This window comes from Homo sapiens, chromosome 15 (assembly GCF_000001405.40).
Source record: "Homo sapiens chromosome 15, GRCh38.p14 Primary Assembly".
NCBI lineage: Eukaryota > Metazoa > Chordata > Mammalia > Primates > Hominidae > Homo > Homo sapiens.
In genome coordinates, this window is record NC_000015.10 from 74,846,252 (window position 1) to 74,866,511 (window position 20,260).

At 51.0% G+C, this 20,260-nt stretch overlaps 1 protein-coding gene across 2 annotated transcripts in view, besides 7 other annotated features; it reads right to left on the reverse strand.

Moving 5' to 3' along the window:
• The window catches only part of SCAMP2 (secretory carrier membrane protein 2), a 29,636-nt gene that overhangs the window by 2,522 nt on the left and 6,854 nt on the right, over nt 1–20,260 (reverse strand). The window contains exons 2-8 of one of the 2 annotated variants that reach the window (NM_001320778.2): nt 8,330–8,398; nt 7,770–7,868; nt 7,117–7,245; nt 5,818–5,935; nt 5,102–5,230; nt 4,263–4,422; nt 2,349–2,450 (exon numbers count right to left, since the gene is read on the reverse strand). In NM_001320778.2, coding sequence (NP_001307707.1) covers nt 2,349–2,450; nt 4,263–4,422; nt 5,102–5,230; nt 5,818–5,935; nt 7,117–7,245; nt 7,770–7,868; nt 8,330–8,398 — 806 coding nt within the window. The remainder of the gene's footprint in view (nt 1–2,348; nt 2,451–4,262; nt 4,423–5,101; nt 5,231–5,817; nt 5,936–7,116; nt 7,246–7,769; nt 7,869–8,329; nt 8,399–20,260) is intronic. The other variant, NM_005697.5, reaches the window with a different exon arrangement.
• Nucleotides 10,136–10,205: an enhancer, noted in NCBI's record as "active region_9809". NCBI's record gives its function as "activates an Ori minimal core promoter by ATAC-STARR-seq in GM12878 lymphoblastoid cells {active_cell/tissue: GM12878}" and the evidence as "EXISTENCE:reporter gene assay evidence [ECO:0000049][PMID:35858748]".
• Nucleotides 10,952–11,061: an enhancer, noted in NCBI's record as "active region_9810". NCBI's record gives its function as "activates an Ori minimal core promoter by ATAC-STARR-seq in GM12878 lymphoblastoid cells {active_cell/tissue: GM12878}" and the evidence as "EXISTENCE:reporter gene assay evidence [ECO:0000049][PMID:35858748]".
• Nucleotides 11,092–11,151: an enhancer, noted in NCBI's record as "active region_9811". NCBI's record gives its function as "activates an Ori minimal core promoter by ATAC-STARR-seq in GM12878 lymphoblastoid cells {active_cell/tissue: GM12878}" and the evidence as "EXISTENCE:reporter gene assay evidence [ECO:0000049][PMID:35858748]".
• Nucleotides 11,502–11,551: an enhancer, noted in NCBI's record as "active region_9812". NCBI's record gives its function as "activates an Ori minimal core promoter by ATAC-STARR-seq in GM12878 lymphoblastoid cells {active_cell/tissue: GM12878}" and the evidence as "EXISTENCE:reporter gene assay evidence [ECO:0000049][PMID:35858748]".
• Nucleotides 11,782–11,851: an enhancer, noted in NCBI's record as "active region_9813". NCBI's record gives its function as "activates an Ori minimal core promoter by ATAC-STARR-seq in GM12878 lymphoblastoid cells {active_cell/tissue: GM12878}" and the evidence as "EXISTENCE:reporter gene assay evidence [ECO:0000049][PMID:35858748]".
• Nucleotides 13,230–13,339: an enhancer, noted in NCBI's record as "active region_9814". NCBI's record gives its function as "activates an Ori minimal core promoter by ATAC-STARR-seq in GM12878 lymphoblastoid cells {active_cell/tissue: GM12878}" and the evidence as "EXISTENCE:reporter gene assay evidence [ECO:0000049][PMID:35858748]".
• Nucleotides 19,309–20,240: an enhancer, noted in NCBI's record as "H3K4me1 hESC enhancer chr15:75157901-75158832 (GRCh37/hg19 assembly coordinates)". NCBI's record gives its function as "activates a minimal SCP1, AML or CMV promoter by ChIP-STARR-seq in naive H9 embryonic stem cells {active_cell/tissue: H9 hESC(naive)}" and the evidence as "EXISTENCE:reporter gene assay evidence [ECO:0000049][PMID:30033119]".

The following is a 20,260-nucleotide window of genomic DNA, read 5'->3' on the forward strand; positions in this document are numbered from 1 at the left end:
AGCCTAGGTGACAGGGCGAGACTCCAACTCAAAAAAAAAAAAAATTAGCTGGCTGTGGTCATACATGCCTATGCTCCCAGCTACTTGGGATGCTGAGGTAGGAGGATCACTTGAGCCCGTGAGGTTCAAGGCTGCAGTGAGCTGTGATCACGCCACGGCACTCCAGCCTGAGCAACAGAGTGAGACCCTGTCTCCAAAAAAAAAAAAAAAAGAAAAGAAAAAAGAAAAAGGGCTGGGCACAGTGGCTCAAGCCCGTAATCCCAACACTTTGGGAGGCCAAGATGGGCGGATCACGAGGTCAGCAGATCGAGACCATCCTGGCTAACACAGTGAAACCCCATCTCTACTAAAAATACAAAAAATGAGCCAGGCATGGTGGCAGGCACCTACATAGTCCCAGTTACTCGGGAGGCTGAGGCAGGAGAATGGCGTGAACCTGGGAGGCGGAGCTTGCAGTGAGCAGAGATCGCGGCACTGCACTCCAGTCTGGGCAACAGAGACTCCATCTCAAAAAATAATTAATTAAAAAGGTAGCACTGGGCCGGGCCTTTTTCTGCTGCTTTGGGGGTGGGGAGTATGGAAAGCGTGGCTGCTCACTCCTGAGGACCCACCTTCTGTGAAGGAGGATCACTGGCCAACTTGCTGTCACCTGTCTGAGCCCCATGTCCTCATCTGTAAAAGGGATATCCTCATATTTCTTGACATCAAAACTTACTACAAAGCTACAGTCACTAAAATAGTGTAGGACTGGCATAAACATAGACATATAGATCAATAGATCAATGGAATAGAACTGAGATTCCAGAAATAAACCCATACACCTATTGTCAGTTAATTTTTTTTTTTTTTTTTTTTTTTGAGATTGAGTCTTGCTCTGTAGCCCAGGCTGGAGAACAGTGGTGTGATCCCGGCTCACTGCAACCTCCACCTCCCGGGTTCAAGTGATTCTTCTGCCTCAGCCTCCCAAGTAGCTGGGATTATAGGCACCTACCAATGCGCCTGGCCAATTTTTGTACTCTCTAGAAACAAGGTTTTGCCATGTTGGCCAGGCTGGTCTCAAACTCCTTCCTGACCTCAGGTGATCCACCCGCCTTGGCCTCCCAAAGTGCTGGGATTACAGGCATGAGCCACCGCACCCAGCCAACTCAAGCCTTCTGATTCCCAGTACAGGTGCAAACGGCAGTCATGAATCACAGCTTTTCTACCAGGGTCTTACTTAGGTAAGGAGTAATGAAATTGGGTCACTGGTCAAAAGGGACCAGATTAACAACAGCAGGGCAAGAAGCATGAGGGGTGGTGGGAGGGCAGCGTGCACTTGTTTGGAGGGCAAGGGGAGGCAACCTTTCTCTCCCCACTGCTCTGGACTTGCCAGCTCTGCCAGAGGGAGGGGACCAAAATAGCACCGCCCTTCCAGGCTCAGGCTGTCAGCCAAGTGCCAGTCTGACCTTTCTGCAATGCTCCCTGTGCACTGGGGCAGAAAGGAAAACATCAGCCATCAGCTTTTCTTTTGAGATTAATTTTGAGCTGAGGACTGAGGTACCCTGGAAACTCAAACCAGCCGTATGCTCAAAGAGGGCAGCCAGAAGAAGCCTGTCCAGGGGAGGTGAGGGAACCGTCTCCTTAAGTTACAAGGCATCTGGAAAAAGTTGCAGCTCAGAGTCTGCAAAGGCCTGGGCATCCATCAGCTTTCAGGAGGGTGTGGCAGGAGAAAAGGAAGAGGCTGCAATCCAGTGCAGGACACTGTCATGGTAGCCTAAAGAGTCAAGCCAAGTTCACCCACAATACCCTGGAAAGTGGAGAGCAAGGGAAGATAGTGTCTTTTTTTTTTTTTTTTGATACAGGATCTCACTCTGTCACCCAGGCTGGTGTCCAGTGGTGCAATCATGGCTCACTGCAGCCTCAACCTCCTGGGCTCAAGTGATCCTCCTGCTTCAGCCTCCCAAGTACCTGGGACTATAGGTGCATGCCACTGCAACAGGCTAATTTTTTTAATTTTTGGTAGAGACAAGGTCTTCCTGTGTTTCCTAGGCTGTCTCGAACTCCTGGGCTTGAGCAATCTGCCTGCCTCGGCCTCCCAAAGTACTGGGATTCCAGGCATGAGCCACTGCACCTGACCAATAGTGAGTGTCTTTTGATGCCTTTAGTATCAAGGAGAAAAAAAAAGTGAGTGGCTACTGATGAAGAACTGGAGAGAAGGCCCAAAGCAGATCCGAGCTGGCCCACTCACCCACTCCCCGCCATGGGAAAAGCAGGGCACTGGCGGGGCTCTGTGGGAGCTAGAAAACAGGGCAAGAGAGGCTGAGTCCCATATCCAAAGCCTAATTCCCTCTGTGATGCCCAGGTCTCACCTGTCCCCCAGGCCAGGGATGCCAACCAACTGGATGATGTAGATCCCTATTTGACAAAAAAATACAAAGAAGAACACAAAGAAGCTGAAAGAGTTGTCGGACCTGTGGAGAGAGAGGGAAATAAGTCACAAGAGGGCTTGGGCTGTGTTCCTCAGCATCCTTACTTGGTGTGACATCCCTCCTCACTAGGAGCCAGGAGGCAGCATGGGCAAGAGACAGAGCTCCAGGGGCCCAGCCATACCACCCGTAAGGACACGCACACACCCCCCACCATAATCAAGAAGAGCTTGCCTTTCACTGCCTTCCAATTTAAGGGGTCAGTGCTTGACCCCTTCCTCAAAGAGCTGATAAAGTTGCTCCCCCAAAGGACAATATAAAGAGCCTAACACTCCTGCAGTGAGCCAAGATCACGCCACTGCACTCCAGCCTGGGTGACAGAGTAAGACTCTGTCTCAGAAAAATAAGTAAATAAAAAACAAAGAACCTAACACTCCATCTCCTGGAGTACTTGCGTTTCATAACAGGCAAGAAAAACTAAGCCAATCTCTTAATAATAAGTAAATCTCTATATAATAAGTAAAATCTCTAATAATAAGTAAAACTAAGTAAATCTCTTAATAATAAAACTGTATGAGGCCAAGAATTTGAGACCAGCCTAGCCAACATGGCAAAACCCTGTCTCTACTAAAAACACAAAAATTAGCTGGGCGTGGTGGTGTGCGCCTGTAATCCCAGCTACTTGGGAGGCTGAGACAGGAGACTCACTTGAACCTGGGAGGCGGAGGTTGCAGTGAGCCGAGACTGCGCCATTGCACTCCAGCCTGGGTAACAGACTGAGATTCTGTCTCAAAAAAACAAAACAGGCTGGGCACGGTGGTTCACACTCGTAATCCCAGCACTTTGGGAGGCCGAGACAGGTGGATCACTTGAGGTCACAAGTTCAAGACCAGCCTGGCCAACATGGGGAAACCCCATCGCTACTAAAAATACAAAAATTAGCCAGGTGTGATTGTGTGTGCCTGTAAGCCCAGCTACTCCGGAGGCTGAGGCAGGAGAATCATTTGAACCCAGGAGGAGGAGGTTGCAGTGAGCCGAGATCGCATCATTGCACTCCAGCCTGGGTGACAGAGCGAGACTCCCTCTCAAAACAAAAACAATAGAACTTGAGGATACGTGGTAACAAAGAACAATGAGAAAAAAACAAAACCTGTACATCTGACTGGAAGAAAAAAATATTTGGGAAACAGGGGACACCAGACAAAACTCTCTCACGAGCTGAGGACTTCCATCTCTGTGTCCTTGAGGGCTAGATCACAGTGAGGGTTCAGGGCCTCCAGTGGTACAGGGATGGTTCAGCCACTACCCTAATCCCTCTTCCCAGGGCCTGCTGGGCTCCCAGCCCTGAAAGCATAAACCCTGAGGTACAATTCCAGAACCCCTGGGGGTCTGTAAGGTGTATCCAGCTATGTTCCCAGTATCTAGCTTAGGTGTTGGCAGTCTTTATTGGGAAGCATCAATAGTCATGGAGAAAGAGCCCTGGAGAGCACTCATCTGATACTACCAGAGAAGCACACCTTAGAGCCTCAGAAGGGAGTTCCCAAAGAGCGTCCCCTCCCTCTTCCCAGTAACGGCATCAGCCAGACTGGGAGCAGTGGGATGGGAGGTCCCTTCTCTAGGTCTCCTGTGCCTGGTCCAAGGACAGGGCCCAGAGCAGACCTCAGGTACAGAAACTGAGGAACGGGGCCCCCAATCTCTGCTCTGGGTGGGAACAGAGGAACAGAATGTAGGGAAAGTGGATTTCCCTACATTCTATTCTGCTCTAAGACTCAGATGGGGTCCCAGGGCCTATAGCCCTTAGCCTGCTACCTGGGATGCCAGCCATAAAGTCTCACCCCTTGCCCCGGCCTCACTCACCTAAAGGCCTTATAGATGGGTCGGTACCAACAAAGGAAGGCACAGGGAGTGAAGATCAGAAACCACAGGATGGAGAGGCCAAAGTCCACTCCCTTGGAGCTGTTGCCCGAGAACCAGGCCAGGCAGGCAAGCAGGTTCAGAAACAGAGTCACTGAATGCACTGGGGAAGGGGACAGGACAGAGTTATGACTTGTGCCACAGTGGCTGAGGGGCTCCAATGTGGCAGCCACTCCCTAGGAGAGGTGAGGTTCATGCTGCGAAGGCAGCTGCTGAAACAGAGGAGCCCGCTCTGTACCTAGGCAGGGATAGTTCCCATATCCTGGTTTTCTGGGACCTCAAAACCAGGGATCAAACTACGTTCCTGAGAGGTGATGGGACAGCCCGGGTATCTGAGGGGTGTGGAGGGAGGATGCAGACCCAGGGCTGGTCCTTGGGGAAGGAAGTCTTTCTCTTAGCAATGCTTTTCCCTGGCCCTGGATGGCCCCTGATGGAGCTGCAGGGGGAGTCTCCTTCCTCACCCCTCAGAGTTCACAGGCCTGTGGGCAGGGAAGGCCTTCACCTAAGGAGGGCCTTTTAGTGCAGTGAGCTCTGAAGGAACTTGGAAGCCTCTAGTTAGTCCCACCCTCCCTGATCGGTGGTCTGGACTGCCCCTTTCAAGGAGGTTTCCAGACAGGGGGCAGCCTGTGGGCAGAGGCATCTCCCCAACCCAGCCCAGGCACTGAGGAAGGCTGGAGTCTGCTGAAAGCCTGTATACCAGGGAGGAGCAGCCAGGACCAAGATGGGGCTCTCAAGTCACACCCAATTCGCCCTTGCGCTTGGAAGGCAGGAGTGGGACTCACACATCCACAGATAGTAGAGCATCTTGCATATCCGCTGGTAGTCGGCAGGGATCTCTGTGGAGAAATCCTGATAGAAGCAGGGCTTCACAGGGCACCACGAGGGCAGAGGGGGCCAGTTGTTCTGTCTCACTGGGTAGGGCAAAAAGAGTGACGAGGTAAGGGCCCAGCCTCAGAAGGGGCATCAAGGTGCATGCACGCCAGCATAGTGTATGGGCCAAACCAGGGTTCCCAGAGGGGCTCCAGCAAGCGGGGCTTGGAGTCTGCATGGAGCATGGAGTGGGACAGAACAGGATAATGGAACCCAAAGAGATACCAACAAGCTCACATGGAGATAAAAGACCCCAAATGCACTGGGAAATACAGACAGCTAAATGGCCTAAGTGATTATTTTTATTAACAAGCAGCCCATAAGTGTGAGAACTCAGTTCATCATCATTAGCAAGGAATTGTGGGACCAAAGCCCCTATGCTATCAAAGAATCAAGGAATTTGAGAGCTAGGAAGGAGTGCAGAAGTAATCTACAGCCATTACAACTACACTGCAGGTCTCCTGACTTGCAACTTACTGCTCTTCCCAGGACCAGCATCCTGTGATGAGAAGAGCCCCACAAAACTCTAAGGCAGCTCAGGGTGAATGCTGGGAGGCCCTCCGCACAGGTTTCAGGACACTCTTCTATGCCAGGCAGGGCAGCCCCAGGCCCCAGCAGCCTCCCTTACCATGCAAGTTGGCTACAGTGTTCTGCAGCTCCCGCTCCTTGCGTTCCAGCTCGGCAGCTTTCCTGTCCAGTTCTTCCTGCTGCCGGAGCAGGCCTGCCTGGGCTGCAGACACCACGGCCTGGAGAGAACAGGGGAGGTACAGGGACAGCCAGACACAACAAACAGAAACAGTGTCAGCCTGGGTAGGCAGGCAGAGAGGCCTTGCCCCAGGCAGGGACAGCCATCAAGGAGTCCCAGAAGCAGTCCCCGCCCCACAGAGTGTCTTAGGTACCAGAGACCACCTTAGAGAGGCCAACCTGTCTTCCACTGCCCCCACACCTTCCTGACCCCTTGGCCATGACTAAGCTGTCCTCTCCCCTCATCCCTAAGCTTGAGTTGGGAAAACTACCCCCATTGGCTTCTCCACCTCTTCCCCATACTGGGTCAAGGCAGCGCTCAGTGATTGTGACCTTTGGGAAAAAGACCTCACAAGAAACTAAACTATAATAAGAAACCCACAGACCCAAGCCTCATTTGAAGAGCCTGGTGGATGTGTGAGAAGGAAAACAGTGCAAGCCTGCTAACAGTGAGTGGAAAGGGGAGACACGTGAAGGCAGATGGCGTGTGCCTGAGCCTCAGGATCTGTACAAGCACCCTGCCCCATGGCCTGCCCCCAGGAGCTGCCTCCTGAGGTCCCCCTAAACTGCAATTGGCTACACCCCAGGACAGCCCCTTAGGTGTGGCCCTGCCCTGCCTGGCTTTAGTGGCATGCAGAGTCCACACTTATCTCCTCTCCAGGCGGGGTAGAGCCTCTGAGTAACAGTAAGGGACTGACTGTATGTGAGGCTGAACAGACCTGGCCCCGGGGCCCTGCACCTGCTGGCAGCTGCTGCCATTTGGGCCAGGTTCCTCCTGAAGGATGAGACTACAGTCCTTTTTAGGGAGAGATCTCAAACTGGTCATTTCACAGGATGACAAACCAGGCACATGTGTACACACACACATGTATACACACACCAACCTCTCCAAAAGCTCTTCAAAGACCTAAGGCTGACGTGGAGAGCCAAGTTTCAGGCACTGGGGGCGGAAGCAGGAGCAGAACTGACCCCGCTGTGCCACGCTGGGGGTCTTGACCTCCTCCAAGTCTGTGACGCCAGCTGAGAAGGACCCAGCTCCCTACAGCCCACCACCCAGCTGCACAGAAAGGCAACTCCGCATGTAAGGCCTGCCTCACCTCCACAGGGCTCTGGGGCCTGGGAGGGGTGTGGGGCAGGCTCCGGGTGCCCTGCCCTTCCTCCTGCTCATCTACATTAGGCCTACCTTCGGAAGCTTTCGCATGTAGCTGTCTCTGAGAATACTTTCTCCTCCTAGGAGCATCTGCCTCTCTGAGAGCTCGCTCACTGCCAGGAATTGGGCAGGCGGGAACTTGCTGGCCTGTCTAAGCAGGAGCTGCAACACACAACTCCACCATGGGTCACGCTCATAGGGGCAGCGAGGGGTGCAGCGGGAGGGCAGTGAGGCGGCGCAGTGGAGCACCAGGCACAAAGCAGGCAAGATTCACAGTATTTGGTGAAGGGACAAAGGAAGACAGGAAGGAAGGTGAGAATTAATGAAGTTAAAAAAAAGAGAGAGATTCTGGGCCCCAAGGAAGAGAGAACAAGCCAAAGGCCCGAGGAGGACCTGGAGGGGTACAACAGGGACAAATGCCCTCTCTGGAGGCACCGAGGAGCCCGGCCTGGTGAGTAGAGCTTATTTCTCAGTGGTGGTGGTGGGTGGGATGGAGGGAGTAAGGATATTAATTGGCAGAGCAGCCCCTCTACTTGTAGGTGACCAGCTCCGAACAAATTAGCAAGAGGGCCCTTAGGGGGCCAAGGCTGAAAGCTCTCTGCTTGCCCCCAGCCTCAGGGCTCAGCTACTGGTCTGGATGATTCCCTCACTGGAGAGAAAAGGCCAGAGTTCTTTGTCAGCACTACCTGGGGGGTCGGCTGGGTTGGTTCCACTGATGGCTGGAGAACCGCTGGCTGTGAGGACCCAGGGAGTTGGGTGACAGGAACTGTTGTCGCTGCATTTGTCTACATGGAACAAATCAAAAGACAGAATTGAGTGGGACTCCATTAGCTGGTGACGAGGGGGCAAACCCACAGCAGGATGAGTGATGTGCCCCTGCCTGTGAGGGGACTCCCTCGGGGCCTGCACTGGGCCTTCCCCTGTGGCTTCCCAGCCAACAAGCCTCAGGTTCAGGCCATCTGATCCCTAACCCGGCACCCCTGGGCTCGCTGGGTCCAGCACACTTGGGCACTGCCCTGACCTCCTTGGGGAGGGGCCCCGGTCACAGATCCCAAGGGGAGAATTTTACAGAGCGTTTGGTGGCTTTGCCATCCTTACCCTGCCTCCCGGGTTCATGTTAGGACTGTCCCTTTGAGGACTGCCGCTTCTCAGAGCTGCTTCTGTCCTTGCCAAGGATCCCTGCCCCGGACACCCCAGCACCACCCTAGAGGGCCATGGGACTTGGAAAGAGGGCCTGCTCACCAACCTCTGAGAAGGGGTTGAATTCCGCCAGGCCGCCCTGCGGGGCGTTGGTCAGCTGGGTCACAGAGGGATCCTGAGAAGGTGAAAAAAAGCCCTTAGACACAGTGGAGAAAATCCGGGCCAGGGGCCGGCAGGCGAGCCGGTGACGCCTGACTGAAGCAGGGCAGCTGATCACCCTCCCGGGACCCTGAGAAGCCTCTCTGGAAGGGTCCTGTGCCTGCCTCTGCCACACCACAGCTGCGGTCCCTTCTCCCTTCCCCCTTCCTGGAAAAGGTTCAGCCCAGAAGAGACCCAGAGCAAGCTTTACCCAGAAGCTTGAGAGTACACACCACACAGGCTCCTGTTGGTGCCCTATACAGATTCAAAATGGTTCATAGTATTTACCTCTAGGGAGTGGGTTTTTTTTTTTTTTTGAGGGGTGGGGTGCTGAGGGGCAAGTGAATGGGGTGGTGAGGGTAGAGACTTACTATTGACTTTATAACCTTTCTGTACTGTTTTACTTATTATTCATTTATTCCTCTTTTTTTATATTTTTTTATTTTTTCGAGACAGAGTCTTGCTCTGTCACCCAGGCTGGAGTGCAGTGGCGCAATCTTGGCTCACTGCAACCTTCGCCTCCTGGGTTGAAGCGATTCTCCTGCCTCAGCCTCCTGAGTAGCTGGGACTACAGGCGGCCGCCACCATACCCGGCTAATTTTTGTATTTTTAGTAGAGACAGGGTTTCACCATGTTGGCCAGGATGGTCTCAATCTCTTGACCTCGTGATCTGCCTGTCTCGGCCTCCCGAAGTGCTGGGATTACAGGCGTGAGCCACCATGCCTGGCCATTCCTCTTATTTTGTAAAAGACAGTCTAAGGTAGCCGGGTGCAGTAGCTCATGCCTGTAATCCCAGCACTTTGGGAGGCTGAGGCGGGTGGATCACCTGAGGTCGGGAGCTCAAGACCAGCCTGACCAACATGGAGAAACCCCGTCTCTACTAAAAATATAAAATTAGCCAGGTGTGGTGGCGCATGCCTGTAATCCCAGCTACTCCGGAGACTGAGGCAGGAGAATCACTTGAACCCGGGAGGCAGAGGTTGCAGTGAGCCCAGATTGTGCCATTGCTCTCCAGCCTGGGCAACAAGAGCAAAACTCCATCTCAAAAAAAAAAAAAAAAAAAAAAGTAGTCTAAGTTTCTAGAACAAAAACATGCTGCTGGCTGCCAGTACTGATTTTATTAAATCGGGCACACTTGCTAAGAGCAGAGATATGATGAGCTGAGGTGAAAATTCAAGAAAATGTTTCTGGGTTTCGGGGGTTTTTTAAAGTCTTTTCATAAAATCCAAGAATGTCCTCAGAACACAACCTTGTCTCCCTTTCCCATCTGATCTCTGCATGGGGCTCTGCCATCCTCTTTACTGTGCCCCTGCTGGCCTGGAACAGTTGTCTTCACCCTGCCCTGCCCCAAGAAGAGCTCCTCCACACCCTCCCCTTCCTAGTAACAGATGCAGGGCTCAGGTCCAGCTTCACAGCCATGCCTGGGCTCCATGAGGAACAGCCCTGAGGGTGGCCAAATTCAGGGCTGTTCCTGCCTGTGGAGACACCGCTTGGGTTCCACACCTCACCCCACACCCCTAATTATTAAACCAGATGCTCCCAAACTTCAGGCCCAGCCTCACCTCCACTGGAAGCCTCTGCAGAGCCAGTTCTTTTTTTTTTTTTTTTTTTTTTTTTTTTAAGACAGAGTCACGCTCTGTCACCCAGGCTGAAGTGCAGTGGCATGATCTCCACTCACTGCAGCCTCCGCCTTCTGGGCTCAAGCTATTCTCGTGCCTCAGCCTCCTGAGTAGCTGGGATTACAGGCGCCTGCCACCACACCTAGCTAATTTTTATATTTTTAGTAGAGATGGGGTTTCACCATGTTGGGCAAGCTGGTCTTGAACTCCTGGCCTCAGGTGATCCGCTCACCTCAGCCTCCCAAAGTACTGGGATTACAGATGTGAGCCACTGCACCTGGCCTCCAGTTCTTTTTTTTTTTTTTCCTTTTTCTTTTTTAGAGACAGGGTCTCACTCTGTTGCCCAGGCTGGAGTACAGTGGTGCAATCATAGCTCATGGTAGCCTCAAACTCCTGGGCTCAAGCATTCCTCCCACCTCAGCCTCCGGAGTAACCAGGACTACACACATGAGCCACCAGGCCTGGCTGATTTTTAAAGTTTTTTTGTAGAGATGGGGTCTTGCTTTGTTGCCCAGGCTGGTTTTGAAGTCCTAAGCTCAAGTGGTCCTCCCACCCTGGGCTCCCAAAGCACTAGGATTACAAATGTGAGCCACCTTGCCCTGTCCAGATCCAATTGTTAAATACAATGCTAATATTAGACATAGCCACAGAGTGACCCCCTCAGTTTACAGATGTAGAAACTGATATTCACCATGATCCTAGGACCCAAAATGGGAGCTCTCTCCTTACTCTGAATATTTATAGAGCTGAGGGTCAGCATTGAATATGTTCTCTGGTTTTATCACAGATACTTCCTCTTATCTCTTATCTTCCCACCTGAGCCACCAGTTCATAGAGGGTATGAATGTCTGACTGCCTCCAGGCATACAGCCAGAACTCACTGTGTCTGGACGGGCCTCATACTACAGCCTCCACCCCTTCCAACCTCCTCTGCGACAGACTGTGGCTATGTTCTTCCTGCTGAACACCACCTCTGCCCTGATGGCTCCTGCAACTTGGACAAAGTGACAAGGTGAAGTTCAGGAGGCTCTGTGTTGCTGAAGAATTGGCCTTGAGGTTATTTCATGCCTGAATGACCAGTGGTTTACTACCAGAATCATCTGGCTTCCTGCAAGGAAGATTTGGGGCTTGGTATCTGTTCCCCTCTCAGACTCAGCAGACACCTAGCCACCGCTGAAGTCACTGAAATCGGATCTACCATCCACAGAAGTGGCTCCTCGAGTCTGAGTCACCAGAGGACAGAGGAAGAGGGGCCACTCTGGTAGCAGTTTCAGGTAATGGCAAACAGACATCTGGCCAAGGTGCACATGTTTAATAGGTGATCTCCAGGCCCACAAAGAGATGCCATTTCCTTTATGAATGGCAGACAGAAGGGGACTGTGATGGGGATCATAGGGTGACTGCCCTGTCCACTCTGATCCCTCCCTTTTTCCTAAAATCTTAAAGACATGGCCTTGGACTCCTCACCGGGCTCCTCATAAACAAATCTGATCTCCATGATTAAGTTAGAAGCTCCCTGCAGCCATGTGCATCTGTGTCTGGTTCATATTCTAGTTCCTTGGTGCTTGGTGAAGGGCCTATGGCAGCACAGCAGCTCAGCGGTTTGAGAAGACACGCAGCACGCTGTAGGGCCTCCCTCTTTTTAGAAAGCACTGCCCAAGTGCCAGGGCATAGCAAACAGGAGGCACCTGCATCACAGCAGTAGCCCAAGGGCCTGGAAGCACGTTGCCTAGGAAGAGCAACCTAAAACGCTGAGACAAGTGGATATTTTCCCATCTAAGAAAACCTAGGCTCTTTCTGAAAGATGTGCGTGGCTTCAAGACAAGCTGAGCCCTGGCAAGAAAGGGAGGGAGGAGGAGGGACTGGGGAAGGAAGCTGACATTTACTTAGTGTCTACGGTGTGCCAAACTCACCACACAATGATGCTACTGTGAAATTCTAGTCACCCCAGAACTAGCCACTGTGTCGAGTTGTCAGAAAAGAGGGTTTTACTGGCCTTCCTTGACCTGGTTCTTCAAAAGACTTATGACCCCCTAATCCACTATTTATAATGACTTTACTGCTCTCCTGGTACCTAGGGTGGTACTAGTTATACTCCATACTTGAGAGAGCTGAGAGAGTCACTCCAATCAGCTTCTCTGTTCTGTGGCTCAGCTCGGGACCCTGGCTGAGAAAAGCTACAATACAGCTCCTCATTTAACCCTCACAACAGCCTTATGAGGAAGGAATATTTATATTTTGCAGCTGGAAAAGCTCAAGCTCAGAGAGGGGAAGTAGCTTGTCTTAAGATCTCAGGGGTAGTGGCTCAGCCAGATTTTCAATCCAAGTCTGTCTCCAGGGACACAAGATGGTAAAGCTGAGTGGGGCAAAGCATCTCGAAGCCTGGTACGGAGCCTGACAAATTGAAGGCGCTCAGTGAATATGTGGCAGGATGAATGAGCCCCACTCCAGGAGGACACTGACAAGGGCTTCTGCTTGTTTCCTTGCTTCCTTCTTTCCTTCAAAGAGCTGGTTCTTTTTTTTTTTTTTTTTTTTTTTTGAGACGGAGTCTTGCTCTGTTACCCAGGCTGGAGTGCAGTGGCGCGATCTCAGCTCACTGCAAGCTCTCCCGGGTTCACACCATTCTCCTGCCTCAGCCTCCCCAGTAGCTGGGACTACAGGCACCTGCCACCACGCCCGGCTACTTTTTTTGTATTTTTAGTAGAGATAGGTTTCACTGTGTTAGCCAGGATGGTCTTGATTTCCTGACCTTGTGATCCGCCCACCTCAGCCTCCGAAAGTGGTGGGATTCAGGCGTGAGCCACCATGCCCGGTCCTAACTGGCTTTTAAATGGGTCAAGTAGGATGGTGAGGGCTAAGTTTCACCTACAAGGAGGAATAACCTAAAACTCCCCTGCAGTGCCACTCAGAGTGGCTATTGCCCTTTACTGAATTTGTAACAAATAAAAGGCTCTTAACCTCAGTTCTTTTCATTCAGCAACCAGCTACAGTGTGAGGAACATACCACAATGCATAAGACACAGCTCTCACCCTTCTGGAGTCCACAATCTGGTATCTGAGACAAGTGGGCACCCCCTGAAGGGGTGCTGGGGACCACGGCAAGGTGCAGAGCAAAAAACAGGAAGAAGGGGAGACACCTCGGTGGGCTTCAAGAAAGGCCAGGTTGTAGAAGGAAGACAGACAGCAAAGGCCCAGATCAGTAAGGCCCCCCACCACTGCAAGGCAGGGGGGCACTTCCACATAGCTGGGGGGTAAAGGCAGTGAGGGAAGAGAGGCAGGCAGAGTTAGGCTGCAGCTCTCCCAGGAACGGCCATGAAAACCACACTTTTTTTTTTTTTTTTTTGAGATGGAGTCTCGCTCTGTTGCCCAGGCTGGAGTGCAGTGGCGCAATCTCTGCTCACTACAATCTCCACCTCCCAGGTTGAAGCGATTCTCGTGCCTCAGCCTCCTGAGTAGCTAGGATTACAGGCACATACCACCACGCCCGGCTAATTGAAAACCACACTTGTCACTGGTTTGGAAACCTCATACCATGCGTTTCACAGGTGCTGGCTGTCTGAGCTCTCTGTGACTTTTCCTTGCCTTCCCTTCCTGTATTCCACCCAGGCTCCCAGTGTGAGGTTTATTTCAGGCTCCAAATAAACACATTAAATAAATATCTTATCTCACGGACTAAAAAAAATTCAGGGCCAGCCGGGCACGGTGGCTCAAGCTTATAATCCAGCACTTTGGGAGGCTGAGGTGAGAGGGTTGCTTAAATCCAGTTTGAGATCAGCCTGGGCAACATAGCGAGACCCTGTCTCTTTTTTTTCATAGTAAAAATAAAAAATAAGTTTAGGCCTGGCGCGGTGGCTCAGGCCTGTAATCCCTGCACTTTGGGAGGCCAAGGCAGGCGGATCACCTGAGAACAGGAGTTTCAGACCAGCCAATATGGCCAACATGGTAAAACCCCATGTCTATTAAAAATACAAAAATTGGCCGGGTCTGGTGGCTCACACCTGTAATCCCAGCACTTTGGGAGGCCAAGGCAGGAGGATCACCTGAGACCAGGAGTTCTAGACCAGCCAACATGGCCAACATGGTGAAACCCCATCTCTATTAAAAATACAAAAATTGGCCAGGCGTGATGGCTCACGCCTGTAATCCCAGCACTTTGGGAAGCTGAGGCAGGTGGGTCACCTGAGGTCAGGAGTTTGAGACCAGCCTGGCCAAGATGGCAAAACCCCATATCTACTAAAAATACAAAATTAGCTGGGCGTGGTGGCAGGCGCCTGTAATCCCAGCTACTTGGAAGGCTGAGGCAGGAGAATCGCTTGAACTGGGAGGCGGAGGTTGCAGTGAGCCAAGATTGTGCCATTGCCCTCCAGCCTGGGATACAGAGGAAGACTCCATTTAAAAAAAAAAAAAAAAAAAAAGCCAGGCGTGGTGGTGCATGCCTGTAGTCCCAGCTACTTGGGAAGCTGAGGCAGGAGAATCACTTGAACCCAGGAGGAGGCTGCAGTAAGCCAAGATCACTGCGCAGCACTGCACTGCAGCCTGGGCAGCAGAGCAAGACTCTGTCTCAAAAAAATAAACAATAATAATAATAATAAATAAATTCTGGCCAGGCACGGTGGCTCATGCCTGTAATCCCAGCACTTTGGGAGGCTGAGGCGGGTAGATCACCTGAGGTCAGGAGTGTAAGACCAGTCTGGCTAACAAGGTGAAACCCCATCTCTCCTAAAAGTACAAAAATTAGCCAGGCATGGTGGCGGGTGCCTGTAATCCCAGCTACTCAGGAGGCTGCAGCAGGAGAATCACTTGAACCCAGGAGGCAGAGGTTGCAGTGAGCCAAGATCGTGCCACTGCACTCCAGCCTGGGCAACAGAGCGAGACTCAACTCAGGGAAAAATAAATAAATAAATAAATTTTAAAACATTAAAAATTCAGGGTCATGCTGAGAGGCAGAGAGTCAGCAACACTCTGGAACCTCTGTGAAGTCCTATTGGCTTTGGAGATGAGGCTGAGTGTCACAGAGCACGAAAAAGCAATCACCCCCAGAGTGGCTAGCTGGGTCCCAGTGCACAAAGAGCCACAATTGACCTTGGTGCTCTCTGACCTGATACCTGAGAATCTGTCCTAAGAAAATATCACAAAAACATGTAAAAATCTGTACCTGCAATGATATTCATAGGACCAGGACTTACAATAGGAGAAAAAAGCACGAAACAAACATCCAATGACAGAGACCACAGGTATGTTTTGGTACGCATCCCCTTGAAGGCCCACAACGCCACTAAGCATCACAGCTATGAAGATGGTGCAGCAATACAGAACAGGCTTTCTGGTCGGGCATGGTGGCTCACGCCTATAATCGCAGCACTTTGGGAGGCCAAGGTGGGCAGATCACGAGGTCAGGAGATCGAGACCATCCTGGCTAACACGGTGAAACCCTGTCTCTACTAAAAATACAAAACCAAATTAGCCGGGCGTGGTGGCGGGCGCCTGTAGTCCCAGCTACTCTGGAGGCTGAGGTGGGAGAATGGTGTGAACCCAGGAGGTGGAGCTTGCAGCGAGCCGAGGTCACACCACTGCACTCCAGCCTGGGCAACAGAGCAAGACTCTGTCTCAAAAAAAAAAAAAAAAAAAAGAAAGAAAGAAAAGAAAAGAAAAGGCTTTGTTACATCAATACTAAATTATGGGCCAGGCCCGGTAGCTCATGCCTATAATCCCAACACTTTGGGAGGCCGAGGCAGGCGGATCATTTGAGGTCAGGAGTTTGAGACCAGCCTGGCCAACAAGGTGAGAACCCGTCTCTACCAAAAAAAAAAAAAATACAAAAGTTAGCCAGGCGTGGTGGCATGCGCCTGTATTCCCAGCTACTTTGGAGGCTGAGGCAGGAGAATCGCTTGAACCTGGGAGGTAGAGGTTGCAGTGAGTCGAGATCACATCACTGCACTCCAGCCTGGGTGACAGAGTGAGACTCTGTCTCCAAAAAAAAAAAAAAAAAAAAAAAAAATTCCTGGCCAGGTGCAATGGCTCACACCTATAATTCTAGCACTTTGGGAGGCCAAGGTGGGCAGATCACTTGAGATCAGGAGTTCAAGACCACCCTGGCCAACATGGTGAAACCTCTCACTACTAAAAATGCAAAAATTAGCAGGGCACGGTGGTGCATGCCTCTAATTCCAGGTACTTGGGAGGCTGAGGCAGGAAAACTGCTTGAACCCAGGAGGCAGAGGCTGCAGTGAGCCGAGATCACACCACTGCACTCCAGTCTGGGGGACAGAGTGAGACTCCATCTCAATAAATAAATAAATAATTAACAATGGTTGCAAATGACTGGTAGAAATATGGAAGACTTATTTTCTGTTTTCCAAATTTTCTATAATATGGTCATGTTATTTTGATTTTAAAAACACATATACATAATCCCAGCTACTTGGGAGGCTGAGGCAGGAGAACCGTTTGAACCAGGGAGGTAAAGGTTGCAGTGAGCTGAGATCGTGCCACTGCACTCCAGCCTGGGTGACAGGGCGAGACTCCATCTCAAAAAAAAAAAAAAAAACAAAAAACAAACCATACACACACACACACACACACACACACACACACACACACACACACATATTTTTAAAAAGAGAAAGAAAAAAAAATAGGCTGGACACATGGCTCATGACTGTAATCCCAGCACTCTAAGAGGCTGAGGTGAGAGAATCGCTTGAGCCCAGGAGTTAAGACCAGCCTGGGCATCATGATGAAACCCCGTCTCTACAGAGAATACGAAAATTAGGCCGGGTGCAGTGGCTCATACCTGTAATCCCAGCATTTTGGGAGGCTGAGGTGGACGGATCACCTGAGGTTGGGAGTTTGAGACCAGCCTGGCCAGCATGATGAAACCCAGTCTCTACTAAAAATACAAAAATTAGCCGGGTGTGGTGGCAGGCGCCTGTAACCCCAGCTACTTGGGAAGCTGAGGCAAGAGAATCACTTGAACCTGGGAGGCGGGGAGATTGCAGTGAGTCGAGATCACTCCATTGCACTCCAGCCTGGGCAACAGAGTGAGACTCCGTCTCAAAAAAAAAAAAAAATCAGCCAGGTCTCGTCGTGGGTACCTGTGGTCCCAGCTACACTGGAGGCTGAGGCAGGAGAACTGCCTGAGCCCAGGAGGTCGAGGCTGCAGTGAGCCATGATTGCGCTACTGCACCCTGGCCTGGGTGACAGAGACAGACCCCATCTCCAAAAAAAAAAAAAACAGTAAGTGAGCAAGGTACACTCAGGCCTCGCTTCCTGCCACCGGCTGCAATGTGTGGAACCCTTCAGAAAAGCAAGTCTGAGTCACCTGGCCGGGCATTCAAGGCCTTCCAGGACCTGGCACCAATCCTCTAAAGGAATCTACCCTCAAAATGGGACACTTACTATCTCCTCGCACCTCTGTGTAGTCTCTCCATACACAAACCATTCCATGCCAAGCACTGGGCTAGGGAAACCAAGAAAGAACCTTGATTCCTGCCTTTGAGAAGCAAATAGTACAGAGAATCACACAGAAGCCAGGGCAAGAGGTGATGGCACATGATCAGCACTGTAACAGGGTGAGGGCAGACACAGGGTGAGACACAGTGTGATCATAGAGGAGAGAGTAATTAAGCTGTCTGGGAGAGTCAGGGAAGGCTCTACTGAGCTGGAATCTGAGTTGGATCTTGAGAGATGAAAGAAACCTAGCAAACAGTAAAGAGGAAGGCAAGAACCACACTTGCAAAGCCACAGGATCTTTATTTATTTATTTATTTTATATATGTATATATTTTTGAGACGGAGTCTCACTCTGTCGTCCAGGCTGGAGTGCAGTGGCGTGATCTCAGTTCACTGCAACATCCGCTTCCCAGGTTCAAGTGATTCTCCTGCCTCAGCCTCCTGAGTAGCTAGGATTACAGGTGTGTGCCACCATGCCCAGCTAATTTTTTGTATTTTTAGTAGGGACAGGGTTTCACCGTGTTAGCCAGGATGGTCTTGATCTCCTGACCTTGTGATCCGTCCGCCTTGGCCTCCCAAAGTGCTGGGATTACAGGCTTGAGCCACCGCACCTGGCCGAGAATCTTTAAAAAGAGCTTGCATGTGTTCAGAAGAGAGAAGGTTATGGAGGCTGTGGAGGGGTGTGTGGAGAGAAGAGTCTGGAGTATCAGGGAACCAGTCTGAAGAGGGTGGGGCCAGATTGTGGGACTTTGGATGTTGCTCTACAGGCAACGGGGAACAACTAGAGATTTGCAGTCAGGGGTGACATGATCATTCTATCAGCAGTGAAGGGAGTGCAACAGCATGGTAGGACAACAGCGGGAAGACTGGCTAGGACACAACTGTCAACATGGGTGAAGTGAGGACCAAATTGAGGGACAGCAGCTGGGGATGGAGAAGAGGAACAAGAGGGACTTCAGAGACCTTCCTCACATCAATCCCACAGGCTCAGCAACTCTCTGGGTTGGCCTGGGAATGGAAAGACTACAGGGCAGGAAAGGGAAGGGAAAGAATAGAGTTGAGGCCAGGCACAGTGGCTCACGCCTGTAATCCCAGCACTTTGGGAGGGTGAGGCAGGTGGATCACTAGAGGTCAGAAGTTTGAGACCAGTCTGGCCAACATGGTGAAACCCCATCTCTACTAAAAATACAAAAATTAGCCGGGCGTGGTGGCACATTCCTGCAATCCCAGCTACTCAGGAGGCTAAGGCAGAAGAATTGCTTGAACCCAGGAGAGGTGGAGGCTGCAGTGAGCTGAGATCACACCACTGCACTCCACCCTGACTCTATCTCAAAAAAAAAAAAAAAAAAAAAAAAGGCCAGGCACAGTTGCTCACGCCTGTAATCCCAGCACTTTGGGAGGCCAAGGCAGGTGGATCACCTGAGGTCAGGAGTTTGAGACTAGCCTGGCCAACATAGTGAAACCCCATCTCTACTGAAAATACAAAAATTAGCCGGGCGTGGTGGCATGCGCCTGTAGTCCCAGCTACTTGGGAGGCTGAGGCAGGAGAATCGCTTAAACCCAGGGGGCAGAGGTTGCAGTGAGCCAAGATAGCACCACTGCACTCCAGCCTGGGCAACAGAGCAAGACTTTGTCTCAAAAAAAAAAAAAAGAAAAGAAAAGAAAAAAGAAAGAAAGGAGTGCCCAAAATAAGTGACTGTGGGAGAGGAGGAACAGGTTTTTCAAGGGTGGGTGTGGTGGGGTAGGGAGAGGATCCGAGAAGATATTGAGTCAGGTTGGAGATAGCTGTGGAATATTTCTGGTTGGAAGGATTGGGAAGGTGCAGGTGTGAGTTTGAAATAGTGGTCTGAGCTCAGGAGGAAGCTGAGAACTAGAGATCTAGATCTGGGATCGCTGAAATGTGGATGCTATTCTGAAGTCATAGAAATGAAGGTATAAAGTGAGAACAGGGTAAACCCAGCACTTTGGGAGGTTGAGGCAGGATTGCTTGAATCCAGGAGTTCGAGACTAGCCTGGGCAACAAAGTGAGACCTCATTTCTCCAAAAAAAAAAAAAAAAAAAGCCAGGCACGATGGTGTTTGCCTGTAGTCCCAGCTACTTGGGAGGCTGAGATGGGAGGATTTCTGGAGCCTAGGAGATTGAGGCTGCAGTGAGCCGTGATTGTGCCACTGCACTTCGGCCTAGGCAACACAGTGAGACTCTGTCTCGAAGGAAGGAAGGAAGGAAGGAAGGAAGGAAGGAAGGAAGGAAGGAAGGAAGGAAGGAAGGAAGGAAAGGAGGGAGGGAGGGGAGGGGAGGGGAGGAAAAGAAAAGAAAAGAAAAAAAAGAAAGACAAAGTTTAAGTTCTGAACTTCCAATAGCATGAATAAAAACAAAAAAAGAACTCTGGAATACTCCTAAATGTATGAGACAGGAAGTGAAAACAGGCTGAGGAAGGTGAGAATTATCAGGATAAAAGAGGCCAAGGATGGAGAGAATTTCAAGAGACTGGCCAAACAAGCATGTGAGTCACAAGCAGCAGACGCATCCCAGGCTCATGACTCCCTAAGAGACCATTAAGATCTAAGAGTGAGGACATGCCTGGGGGTGCAGGGGTAAGAGTGGACACAGGAGTACAGGGATGACAGCAAGCAGGAGCGACTTTTGGTTCTTGGCACTACTTCACCCAAAAATACTCTGTTTTCTGGCCGGGCGTGGTGGCTCACACCTGTAATCCTAGCATTCCGGGAGACCGAGGTGGGTGGATCACCTGAGATCAGGAGTTTGAG